Raw genomic sequence first — 13,816 nt, forward strand, 5'->3', positions numbered from 1 at the left:
TGAGAGTAAAAGTGTAGAATTTGTACAAGTGACCAAAATTAAGTTATCAGTTTAAATAGCCTGTTATCAGTATAAGATATTTTATGTAAGCCTCATTGTAAGTACAAATAAAAAATCCTTAGTAGATATACAAAAAAATAAAAAGAAAGAATTCAAAGCATACCACTACAGAAAATCATCAAACCATAGAGGAAGACAGTAATAGAGGAAGATAAAAACAACCAGTCTACAGAGTAACCAGAAAACAATTAACAAAATGTCAATAGTAAATCCTTACCTATTTATAACTAATTTAAATGTAAGTGGGTAAAGTTCTTTAATCAAAAGATAACAAGTGGCTAAATGGATTTTAAAAAAGAAAAAAAGACCCAACTATGTGCTGCCTACAAGAGATTGATTTCACCACTAAGAACACAGGTCGACTGAAAGTTAAGGGATGCAAAAAGATGTCATGCAAACGGAAACCAAAAGTGAGTGGGAGTAGCTATACTTACACCAGAAGAAAAAAAAAAAGACTTGAAGTGAAAAACTCTTAAAGAGACAGAGGAGGTCATTCTATCGTGATGAAGGGGTCAATTTATTAAGAAGATATAACAATTGTAAATATATATGCAACCAACATTGGGTCACCTAAATATGTAAAGTAAATAATGAATCTGAAGGGAGAGATAGATTGCAATACAATAATAGTTGGAGACTTCAATACTTCACTTCAACATTGGATGGATCATCTAGACAGAAAATCAACATGGAAACATTGGACTTGAACACTTTAGACCAAATTGACCTAATAGATATTTATAGAACAATCTAGCTAATAACAACAGAATACACATTCTTTTCAAGTTCATACAGAACATTCTCCAGGATGGATCATATGTTAGGCTACAAAACAAGTCTTAACAAATTTTAAAAGACTGAAATCATACTAAGTATCCTTTTGGACAACAATGTCATGAAATTAGATATCAATAATAGGAGGAATCTTGGAAAAATCACAAATACGTGAAAATTAAACAACAGTCTCCTGAGCAAACAATGAGTCAAAGAAGGAATTAAAAGGAAAATTTAAAATATTTCAAGACAAACAAAAATGAAAACATAATTTATCAAAATTTATGAGATGAAGCAAAAGTGGTCTTTAGAGGAAAGTTTACAGCAAAAAAAAAAAAAAAAATGCCTGTATCAAAAAAGACTAAAGATCTCAAATAAACAGCATAATATTACACCTCAAGGTGTAATACAAGAGGAAGAACAAGAAGGACAAGGTAAGCCCAAACATAGCAGAAAGAAGAAAATAACAAAGATCAAACTAGAAATGACAAAGTAGAAACTAGAAAAGCAATATTTTAAAAATCAATAAAACCAAGTAGTTTCTTAAGAGATAAACAAAACTGGCAAATGTTTAGCTAAACTAAATAAAAAAGAGAAGGCATATAAATAAAATCAGATATGAAAGAGGGAAAATTACAACATACCACAGAAATACAAAAGATCATAAGAAACTACTGTGAACAACTAAACCTAACAAATTGTATAACCTAGAAGAAACGGAGTAATTCCTAGAAGCATGCAACCTACCAAGGCTAAATCAAGAAGAAATAGGAAATCTGAACAGACCAATCATGAGAAAGATTGACTAGTAAAAGTCTCTTATCAAAGCAAAGCCCAGAACCTGATGGCTTCATTGATAAATTCTGCCAAATATTTAAAGGAGAACTAATATGAATTATTCTCAAACTCTTCCAAAAAATTAAAGAGGAGGGAATACTTCCAAGCTCACTTTATAGGGCCAGTATTGCTCTGATTATCAAAGCCAGACAAGGATACTAGAAGAAAAGAAAAGTACAGGCCAATATCCCTGATGAACACAGATGCAAAAATCCTCAACAAAATACTAGCAAACCAAATTCAATAATATACCTAAAAAAAATTATTCACCATGATCAAGTGATTAATCTCAGGAATGCAAGGATGGTTCTGTATATGTAAATCAATGTAATACACCATATTAACAAATGAAGGACAAAAACTCCACGATTATCTCAAGAGATGCAAGAAAGTATTTGACAAAACTCAATGTCTGTTCATGTTAAGAACTCCAAAAAAGAAAAAAAAAAGATATACAGGGAATGTACCTCAACACAATAAAGGTCACATATGACAAACCCACAACTAACATCATACTCAACTGTGAAAAGTTGAAAGCTGTTCCTCTAAGATAAGGAAGAAGACAAGAATGCTCACTCTCACTATTCTATTTAACATAGTGCTGGAAGTCCTAGCCAGAACAATAAGGCAAGAAAAATAAATAAAATGCATCGATATAGGAAAGGAAAAAATGAAATTATCTTTGTTTGCTGATGACATGATCTTATATATAGAAAATCCTAAAGACTTCACTAAAAATCTGTTAGAATTGATAAACAAATTCAATCAAGTTGCAGGTTACAAAATCAATACACAAAAATTCATAGAATTTCTATACACTGTCAAGGAACTATTCAAAAAAATTAGGAAAACAATCTCACACATAATAGCATCAAAAAAATAAAATACTTAAGAGTAAATTTAACCAAGGAGTTAAAAGACCTGCATGCTGAAAACTATTAAAAAAAAAAAAAAGCCTAAAACACTGATGAAAAGCCCAGGTGTGATGGCTCATGTCTGTAATCCGAGCACTTTAGGAGGCCAAGATGGGAGGATCTCTTGAGGCCAGGAGTTTGAGACCAGCCTGGGCAACAAAGTGAGACCTCATCTTTACATTTTTAAAATTAGCTGGATATGGTGGTGCATGCCTGTAGTCCTAGCTACTCGGGAGGCTGAGGTGGGAAGATCACTTGAGCCCAGGAGGTCAAGGCTGCAGTGAACTATGATCTTACCACTGCACTCCAGCCAGGGTGACAGAGTAAGACTCTGCCTCTAAAAATTTTTTTTTAATAATAATAATAATTGAAAGAAATTAAAGAAGACACACATAAGTAGAAAGATACCTATATCCATGGATTGGAGCAATTAATATTGTTAAAATGTCCATACTGCTCCAAATGATCTACAGTTTCAATACCACTTATATCAAAATTCCAAGGTCATTTTTTACAGAAATAGAAAAAATAATATTAAATTTGTATGGGACCAGAAAAGACCATGAATAACGAAAGCAATACTGAGCAAAAAGAACAAAGCTGGAGGCATCACACTCCCTAATTTCAAAATAGATTAAAAAGCTATTGTAATCAAAACAGCATAATTTAAAAATAATAAAAACAGATACATTGACCAATTAAACAGGATAGAAAGCACAGAAGTAGTCCCAAGTATTTTCAGTCAATTGGCTTTTGACAAAGGTGCCAAGAACACAATTGGAAGAGAAAGGACAGTATCTTCAATAAATGGTGCTGGAAAAACTGAATATACACATGCAGAGGAATGAAAATGCACTCATATCTCACCCTTTATACAAGAATCAATTCAGAGGAGCCAAGATGGCCGAATAGGAACAGCTCCGGTCTACAGCTCCCAGCATGAGCAACGCAGAAGATGGGTGATTTCTGCATTTCCATCTGAGCTTTGAAGAGAGCAGTGGTTCTCCCAGCACGCAGCTGGAGATCTGAGAATGGGCAGACTGCATCCTCAAGTGGGTCTCTGACCCCTGACCCCTGAGCAGCCTAACTGGGAGGCACCCCCCAGTAGCGGCAGACTGACACCTCACACAGCCAGGTACTCCTCAGAGACAAAACTTCCAGAGGAACGATCAGACAGCAGCATTCACGGTTCACAAAAATCCGCTGTTCTGCAGACACTGCTGCTGATACCCAGGCAAACAGCGTCTGGAGTGGACCTCTAGCAAACTCCAACAGACCTGCAGCTGAGGGTCCTGTCTGTTAGAAGGAAAACTAACAAACAGAAAGGACATCCACACCAAAAACCCATCTGTACATCACCATCATCAAAGACCAAAAGTAGATAAAACCACAAAGATGGGGAAAAAACAGAGCAGAAAAACTGGAAACTCTAAAAAGCAGAGCGCCTCTCCTCCCCCAAAGGAACGCAGTTCCTCACCAGCAACAGAACAAAGCTGGACGGAGAATGACTTTGACGAGTTGAGAGAAGAAGTTTTCAGACGATCAAACTACTCCGAGCTACAGGAGGAAATTCAAACCAAAGGCAAAGAAGTTGAAAACTTTGAAAAAAAAAATTTAGACAAATGTATAACTAGAATAACCAACACAGAGAAGTGCTTAAAGTTGCTGATGGAGCTGAAAGCCAAGGCTCGAGAACTACGTGAAGAATGCAGAAGCCTCAGGAGCTGATGCAATCAACTGGAAGAAAGGGTATCAGTGATGGAAGATGAAATGAATGAAATGAAGCAAGAAGGGAAGTTTAGAGAAAAAAGAATAAAAAGAAACGAACAAAGCCTCCAAGAAATATGGGACTATGTGAAAAGACCAAATCTGCGTCTGATTGGTGTACCTGAAAGTGACGGGGAGAATGGAACCAAGTTGGAAAACACTCTGCAGGATATTATCCAGGAGAACTTCCCCAATCTAGCAAGGCAGACCAACATTCAGATTCAGGAAATACAAAGAATGCCACAAAGATACTCCTCGAGAAGAGCAACTCCAAGACACATAATTGTCAGATTCACCAAAGTTGAAATGAAGGAAAAAATGTCAAGGGCAGCCAGAGAGAAAGGTTAGGTTACCCACAAAGGGAAGCCCATCAGACTAACAGTGGATCTCTCGGCAGAAACTCTACAAGCCAGAAGAGAGTGAGGGCCAATATTCAACATTCTTAAAGAAAAGAATTTTCAACCCAGAATTTCATATCCAGACAAACTAAGCTTCATAAGTGAAGGAGAAATAAAATCCTTTACAGACAAGCAAATGCTGAGAGATTTTGTCACCACCAGGCCTGCCCTAAAAGAGCTCCTGAAGGAAGCACTAAACATGGAAAGGAACAACCAGTACCAGCCGCTGCAAAATCATGCCAAAATGTAAAGACCATCGAGACTAGGAAGAAACTGCATGAACTAACGAGCAAAATAACCAGCTAACATCATAATGACAGGATCAAACTCACACATAACAATATTAACTTTAAATGTAAATGGACTAAATGCTCCAATTAAAAGACACAGACTGGCAAATTGGATAAAGAGTCAAGACCCGTCAGTGTGCTGTATTCAGGAAACCCATCTCATGTGCAGAGACAAACATAGGCTCAAAATTAAAGTATGGAGGAAGATCTACCATGCAAATGGAAAACAAAAAAGGCAGGGGTTGCAATCCTAGTCTCTGATAAAACAGACTTTAAACCAACAAAGATCAAAAGGGACAAAGAAGGCCATTACATAATGGTAAAGAGATCAATTCAACAAGAAGAGCTAACTATCCTAAATATATATGCACCCAATACAGGAGCACCCAGATTCATAAAGCAAGTCCTGAGTGACCTACAAAGAGACTTAGACTCACACACAGTAATAATGGGAGACTTTAACACCCCACTGTCAACATTAGACAGATCAACGAGACAGAAAGTTAACAAGGATACCCAGGAATTGAACTCAGCTCTGCACCAAGCAGACCTAATAGACATCTACAGAACTCTTCACCCCAAATCAACAGAATATACATTTTTTTCAGCACCACACCACACCTATTCCAAAATTGACCACATAGTTGGAAGTAAAGCTCTCCTCAGCAAATGTAAAAGAACAGAAATTATAACAAACAGTCTCTCAGACCACAGTGCAATCAAACTAGAACTCAGGATTAAGAAACTCACTCAAAACCACTCAACTACATGGAAACTGAACAACCTGCTCCTGAATGACTACTGGGTACATAACGAAATGAAGGCAGAAATAAAGATGTTCTTTGAAACCAATGAGAACAAAGACACAACATACCAGAATCTCTAGGACGCATTCAAAGCAGTGTGTAGAGGGAAATTTATAGCACTAAATGCCCACAAGAGATAGCAGGAAAGATCCAAAATTGACACCCTAACATCACAATTAAAAGAACTAGAAAAGCAAGAGCAAACACATTCAAAAGCTAGCAGAAGGCAAGAAATAACTAAAATCAGAGCAGAACTGAAGGAAATAGAGACACAAAAAACCCTTCAAAAAATTAATGAATCTAGGAGCTGGTTTCTTGAAAGGATCAACAAAATTGATAGACCGCTAGCAAGACTAATAAAGAAAAAAAGAGAGAAGAATCAAATAGACACAATAAAAAATGATAAAGGGGATATCACCACCAATCCCACAGAAATACAAACTACCATCAGAGAATACTACAAACACCTCTACGCAAATAAACTAGAAAATCTAGAAGAAATGGATAAATTCCTCGACACATGCACTCTCCCAAGACTAAACCAGGAAGAAGTTGAATCTCTGAATAGAACAGTAACAGGATCTGAAATTGTGGCAATAATCAATAGCTTACCAACCAAAAAGAGTCCAGGACCAGATGGATTCACAGCCGAATTCTACCAGAGGTACAAGGAGGAACTGGTACCATTCCTTCTGAAACTATTCCAATCAATAGAAAAAGAGGGAATCCTCCCTAACTCATTTCATGAGGCCAGCATCATCCTGATACCAAAGCCAGGCAGAGACACAACCAAAAAAGAGAATTTTAGACCAATATCCTTGATGAACATTGATGCAAAAATCCTCAGTAAAATACTGGCAAACCAAATCCAGCAACACATCAAAAAGCTTATCCACCATGATCAAGTGGGCTTCATCCCTGGGATGCAAGGTTGGTTCAATATACACAAATCAATAAATGTAATCCAGCATATAAACAGAACCAAAGACATGATTATCTCAATAGATGCAGAAAAGGCCTTTGACAAAATTCAACAACGCTTCATGCTAAAAACTCTCAATAAATTAGGTATTGATGGGACGTATCTCAAAATAATAAGAGCTATCTATGACAAACCCACAGCCAATATCATACTGAATGGGCAAAAACTGGAAGCATTCCCTTTGAAAACTGGCACAAGACAGGGATGTCCTCTCTCACCACTCCTATTCAACATAGTGTTGGAAGTTCTGGCCAGGGCAATTAGGCAGGAGAAGGAAATAAAGGGTATTCAATTAGGAAAAGAGGAAGTCAAATTGTCCCTGTTTGCAGACGACATGATTGTATATCTAGAAAACTCCATTGTCTCAGCCCAAAATCTCCTTAAGCTGATAAGCAACTTCAGCAAAGTCTCAGGATACAAAATCAATGCACAATAATCACAAGCATTCTTATACACCAATAACAGACAATCAGAGAGCCAAATCATGAGTGAATTCCCATTCACAATTGCTTCAAAGAGAATAAAATACCTAGGAATCCAACTTACAAGGGATGTGAAGGATCTCTTCAAGGAGAACTACAAACCACTGCTCAATGAAATTAAAGAGGATACAAAGAAATGGAAGAACATTCCATGCTCATGGGTAGGAAGAATCAATATCGTGAAAATGGCCATACTGCCCAAGGTAATTTATACATTCAATGCCATCCCCATCAAGCTACCAATGACTTTCTTCACAGAATTGGAAAAAACTACTTTCAAGTTCATATGGAATCAAAAAAGAGCCCACGTCGCCAAGTCAATCCTAAGCCAAAAGAACAAAGCTGGAGGCATCACGCTACCTGACTTCAAACTATACTACAAGGCTACAGTAACCAAAACAGCATGGTACTGGTACCAAAACAGAGATATAGATCAATGGAACAGAACAGAGCCCTCAGAAATAATGCTGCATATCTACAGCTATCTGATCTTTGACAAACCTGAGAAAAACAAGCAATGGGGAAAGGATTCCCTATTTAATAAATGGTGCTGGGAAAACTGGCTAGCCATATGTAGAAAGCTGAAACTGGATCCCTTCCTTACACCTTATACAAAAATTAATTCAAGATGGATTAAAGACTTAAACATTAGACCTAAAACCATAGAAACCCTAGAAGAAAACCTAGGCATTACCATTCAGGACATAGGCATGGGCAAGGACTTCATGTCTAAAACATCAAAAGCAATGTCAACAAAAGCCAAAATTGACAAATGGGATCTAATTAAACTAAAGAGCTTCTGCACAGCAAAAGAAACTACCATCAAAGTGAACAGGCAACCTACAAAATGGGAGAAAATTTTCGCAACCTACTCATCTGACAAAGGGCTAATATCCAGAATCTACAATGAACTCAAACAAATTTACAAGAAAAAAAACAAACAACCCCATCAAAAAGTGGGTGAAGGATATGAACAGACACTTCTCAAAAGAAGACATCTATGCAGCCAAAAGACACATGAAAAAATGCTCATCATCACTGGCCATCAGAGAAATGCAAATCAAAACCACAATGAGATACCATCTCACACCAGTTAGAATAGCAATCATTAAAAAGTCAGGAAACAACAGGTGCTGGAGAGGATGTGGAGAAATAGGAACACTTTTACACTGTTGGTGGGACTGTAAACTAGTTCAACCATTGTGGAAGTCAGTGTGGCAATTCCTCAGGGATCTAGAACTAGAAATACCATTTGACCCAGCCATCCCATTACTTGGTATATATCCAAAGGACTATAAATCATGCTGCTATAAAGACACATGCACACGTATGTTTATTGCGGCACTATTGACAATAGCAAAGACTTGGAACCAACCCAAATGTCCAACAATGATAGACTGGATTAAGAAAATATGGCACATATACACCATGGAATACTATGCAGCCATAAAAAATGATGAGTTCATGTCCTTTGTAGGGACATGAATGAAATTGGAAATCATCATTCTCAGTAAATTATCTCAAGGACAAAAAGCCAAACATCACATGTTCTCACTCATAGATGGGAATTGAACAATGAGAACACATGGACACAGGAAGGGGAACATCACTTTCATGTGCGTCCGTGTGAAAAGACCACCAAACAGGCTTTGTGTGAGCAACATGGCTATTTATTTCACCTGGGTGCAGGTGGGCTGAGTCTGAAAAGAGTCAGCAAAGGGAGATAGGGGTGGGGCTGTTTTATAGGATTAGGGAAGGTAATGGAAAATTACAGTCAAAGGGGGTTGTTCTCTGGTGGGCAGGGGCGGGGGTCACAAGATGCTCAGTGGGGGAGCTTCTGAGCCAGAAGGAAATTCACAGGGTTAATCACTCAGTTAAGGTGGGGCAGGAACAAATCACAATGGTGGAATGTCATCAGTTAAGGTGGGGCAGGGCCTTTTCACTTCTTTTGTGATTCTTCAGTTACTTCAGGCCATCTGGGCGTATATGTACAAGTCACAGGGGATGTGATGGCTTGGCTTGGGCTCAGAGGCCTGACAATCACACTCTGGGGTCTGGTGGGGGGACAGGGGAGAGATAGCATTAGGAGATATACCTAATGCTAAATGACGAGTTGATGGGTGCAGCACACCAGCATGGCACATGTATACATATGTAACTAACCTGCACATTGTGCACATGTACCCTAAAACTTAAAGTATAATAATAATAATAAAAGAAAACCCTGCTCTTAGAGGGTTCATCATCTAGAAGTGAGAGGAAGATGTGAAAACAAAATTTTGTCATATGCTGTGGTCAAGTGTTTAAATGGAAGTATTAATAGGAATCTAAAGGAAATACATATGACTAAAATAAAAGAAAGTGAATTCAGCCCTGGGAGTAACAGAGACGTGCAAACAAGATGAGAGGCATTGTCTTGGAGCATAAACAATGTGGTCCTGGTTAGATACTGTACTTAAAATAATATTGTAAATATTGCAGATTTATGGGTTAAAGACTTTGCTGTTGTGGGCTAAGAATCTAACCAGTTCCAGACGACCAACTTTTAAACAGACTTTTGGAGTAGAGTTTCTAAATGTTCTTAAAGGTTCCTGTCAGGCCTTTGAGCCCAAGCCTGTATGTATACATGCAGATGGCCTGAAGCAAGTGAAGAATCACAAAAGAAGTGAAAATGGCCAGTTCCTGCCTTAACTGATGACATTACCTTGTGAAATTCCTTCTCCTGGCTCAGACACTCCCCCACTGAGCACCTCGTGACCCCCGCCCCTGCCTGCCGGAGAACAACCCCTTTGACTGTAATTTTCCACTACCTACCCAACTCCTATAAAATGGCCCTACCCCTATCTCCCTTTGCTGACTCTTTTTGGACTCAGCCCGCCTGCACCCAGGTGATTAAAAAGCTTTATTGCTCAAAAAAAAAAAAAAAAAAGAATCAATTCAAAATGAATTATACAAAAATTAGCTGGGCATGGTGACAGTTTCCTGTAATCCCAGCTACTGGAGAGGCTGAGGCAGGAGAATTGTTTAAACCCTGGAGGCAGAGGTTGCAGTGAGCTGAGATCGTCCCACTGCACTACAGCCTGGGTGACAGAGCAAGACTTTATCTAAAAAAAAAAAAAAAAAAAAAAAATGGATTAAAGACTTAAAAGTAAGACCTGAAACTGTAAGACTACTAAAAGAAAACATAGCGGAAAAACTTCATGACATTTGTCCAGGCAATGATGTCTTGGACAGGATTCCAAAAGCTTAGGCAACAAAAGCAAAAATAGAGAAATGGGATTGCATCAAACTAAAAAGCTTCTGCACAGCAAGGGAAACAATTTACAGAGTGAAGAGACAACCCATGAATTGGGAGAAAATATTTGCAAACCACACATCTGATAAGCGGCTAATATCCAAAATATATAAGAAATTCAAACAACTCCATAGTAAGAAAACAAATAACCTGATTTTAAAATGGGCAAAGGATAAGAACAGACACTTCTCAAAAGAAGACGTATGAATGGCCAACAGACATATGAAAAATACCAACATCTCTAATCATCACAAAAATGCAAATTAAAACTACAATGAGATATCATCTTACAGCTATTAGAATGGCAATTATGAAAAAGATGAATGACAACAAGTTTTGGAGAGAATATGGAGAAAAGAGAACCCTTGCACACTATTGGTGGGAATATAAATTAGTACAGCAACTTGGGGAAATGGTATGGAGGTTCCTTAAAAAACTAAAAATAGAATTACCATATGATCCAGCAATCCAACTTCTGAGTATATGTCCAAAGAAATTGAAATCAGTATGTTGAAGAGATGTCTGCACTTTCATGTTTATTTCAGCATTATTCAGGATAGCCAAGCTAGGGCAGCAACTTAAGGGTCCATAAACAGATAAATGGATAAAGAATATGTGGTGTATATATATACCCAATGGAATACTACACAGCCTTTAAAAAGAAGAAAATTGTGTCATTCATGACTACATGAATGGACCTGGAGGACATTATACTAAATGAAATAAGCCAGGCAAAGAAGAAAAATACTGTATGATTTCACCTATAGGTGGAATCTTAAAAAGTTGATCTAATAAAAGCAGAGAGTTTAAAAGGTTGTTACCAGAGGCTGTCGGAGGGTGGGAGGGATGGGGAAAGGAAAGATGTTGATCAAATGGTACAAAGTTTCAGTTAGAAAGAGGAATAAATTTTAGTAATCTATTGTACTGCATGGTGATCACAGTTAATAAATGTATCATATATTTCAAAATTGCAAAAAATAATAGATTTCTAATGTCCTCAGCACAAAAAGAAATAAGTTGATAAGGCGATGGATATGTTAATTAGCTTGATTGGATCTCTCTATAATGTATACATAGATCAAAACATCACACTGTAGCCAGGCATGGTGGTGCCCACTGTAATCCCAGCTACTCAGGAGGCTAAGATGAGAGGATCGTTTGAGCCCAGGAGTTCACTACCAGCCTGGGCAACATAGTGAAAGCTTGATACTCAGTCTCCAAAAAAATAAAAATCACATTGTAACCCAATAAATACACAAAATTATTTTTCAATTAAAAACAATTTAAAATGTTTTAAAATTTTAATAAGGAACTTCAATTTAAAAATAAGGAAATTTTGACACATGTTATAACATCAATAAACTTTGGGGGCATTATGCTAAGTTATGTAAGCCAGTCACAAAAGTACAAATACTGTATAATTCCACTCATAGGCAGTACCCACAGCAGTCAAATTCAGAGAAACAGAAAGTAGAGTGGTGGTTACCAGGGGCTGGAGGGGAAGGAGGAATGGAGAATTGTTTAATGAGCATAAAGTTTCAGTTAGCAAAGATGAAAAAATTTTGGAAAGGGATGGTGGTGATAGTTCCATAACAATGTGAATGTACTTAATGCCACTAAACTGTACACTTAGAAATGGTCAAAATGATAAATTTTATGTTATGTATATTTTATCACAATTTTTCAAAAAATCACCTTGGAAAGAAAAGCCCTTCCAAGTCAGGGAAGAGAAGATGAGGAACCGGGGTGTAGATATGGCAGGATGTTTTGGAGCAAAAAGAAGCAGCCACGCTAGAAAACTTGCTCTTCCAGGCTGAACCATAAAATAATGCATTTTAATGTGTTTGAGAGGCATATTTGAGCAACCAGTTGGGAGACCTAGGTTAAGTGGGTTCTTTACCTTACAGTCATGTGACTGAACAGATGTTGACGTGGAGGGCATTTTATGGATCTATGTTTATGGATCTATGTTTAATGATGATGCCTATAAGACATTAAATGCAAATTTCTTGATAGTAAAATAACTGGTTAAGGAAATTTCAACAAGATAATATGAGTTCCAGGGAAAACCATGGTATCAATTGGAGAAAGTGAGCAGATGGAGCTAGAATTCTGACAGGCACAACTGCAGGAGTGGCAGTAGCTGGCCTTGGGCACACATTGGATACAGCTGGAATCATTGCCTCTCTTACCCTAGAATGCTTCACCTGAAAGTGTCTGCCTCCTGATTTTGTTAGTGTTTTCAATAGGGAACTAAAGTGGGTAAATTTTGTAATAAGATGTGTTTTGAATTGCTATCCTATGCAAAGTGCCTTGAAAAGCTGGTTCTGTCTCACTAATATACACTGGTTTTGCAAGGAGAGATGTTAGCCAGTGGTTTTGAGACATCAAAACTAAGTGTAAAAACATCAATGAGCTGAATAAATTTATTGTTCACCTTAATGATGAAGTGACTCACAAAACCAGCTTATTTAGCAAGTTTCTTCTTTCAAGGTTGAATACACTCAATCAAAATCTGTAAAACAGTTGAGGTATATTATTAATAACCACACCAAGGCCTGATATTAATTATGGTGATGCCCAAGAGTTCAGTCAAACTGACACTTCAATTTGCTGACATTGCCTTCAGACAAAATAATCAAAGTGCCCCAATATCTGCAAAAAGCTTGATTTTGTTGTTGTTCTTCTTCTTCCATTGTCTTAGTACATAAGACTGGACTTCTGCTTCCAGAAAGATACAGTAGGTATGCTTTACACTAGTCTTCCTGCTAAGTATAGCTACAAACCCTGAAAATTACTTATAAAACAAACATAAGACTCTGAAAGGTGGTGAGAAGAAGACAAACTGGCTGGGGACTTCAGGACCCAAGGAATGACTCAGCAGGGAGCTCTTTGAATTTTCTCTTTGCCTCATATGTCCCACTGGGCGCTGGAGAAGCCAACAACCTGGAAATGTCAATGAATGTAGACAGAAAAAAAAAAAAATCTCTAAGTCAAAGCCCACACCCTCTAGACAAAGGAGCAGCTTAGCAAAATAGAAAACTCTAGAAAATAACTTCTCTCTCTTCCAGTCACATATCACAGAAAAACTGTGGTCCCACTCCCACCCCTACCAGCAAAGACTGAGTGGGGAGCCTAGACTTCCATTTTCACCAGACTACAATGAGATGTCCTATCCCCCACTAGTGTGGTGTCAGAAAAGGCCAAGTAG

General features: G+C 37.6%; 1 annotated feature.

Moving 5' to 3' along the window:
* Window positions 8,837–9,392: an enhancer, noted in NCBI's record as "NANOG-H3K27ac hESC enhancer chr1:37678905-37679460 (GRCh37/hg19 assembly coordinates)". NCBI's record gives its function as "activates a minimal SCP1, AML or CMV promoter by ChIP-STARR-seq in naive H9 embryonic stem cells {active_cell/tissue: H9 hESC(naive)}" and the evidence as "EXISTENCE:reporter gene assay evidence [ECO:0000049][PMID:30033119]".

Source organism: Homo sapiens, chromosome 1 (genome assembly GCF_000001405.40).
Source record: "Homo sapiens chromosome 1, GRCh38.p14 Primary Assembly".
Taxonomy (NCBI): domain Eukaryota; kingdom Metazoa; phylum Chordata; class Mammalia; order Primates; family Hominidae; genus Homo; species Homo sapiens.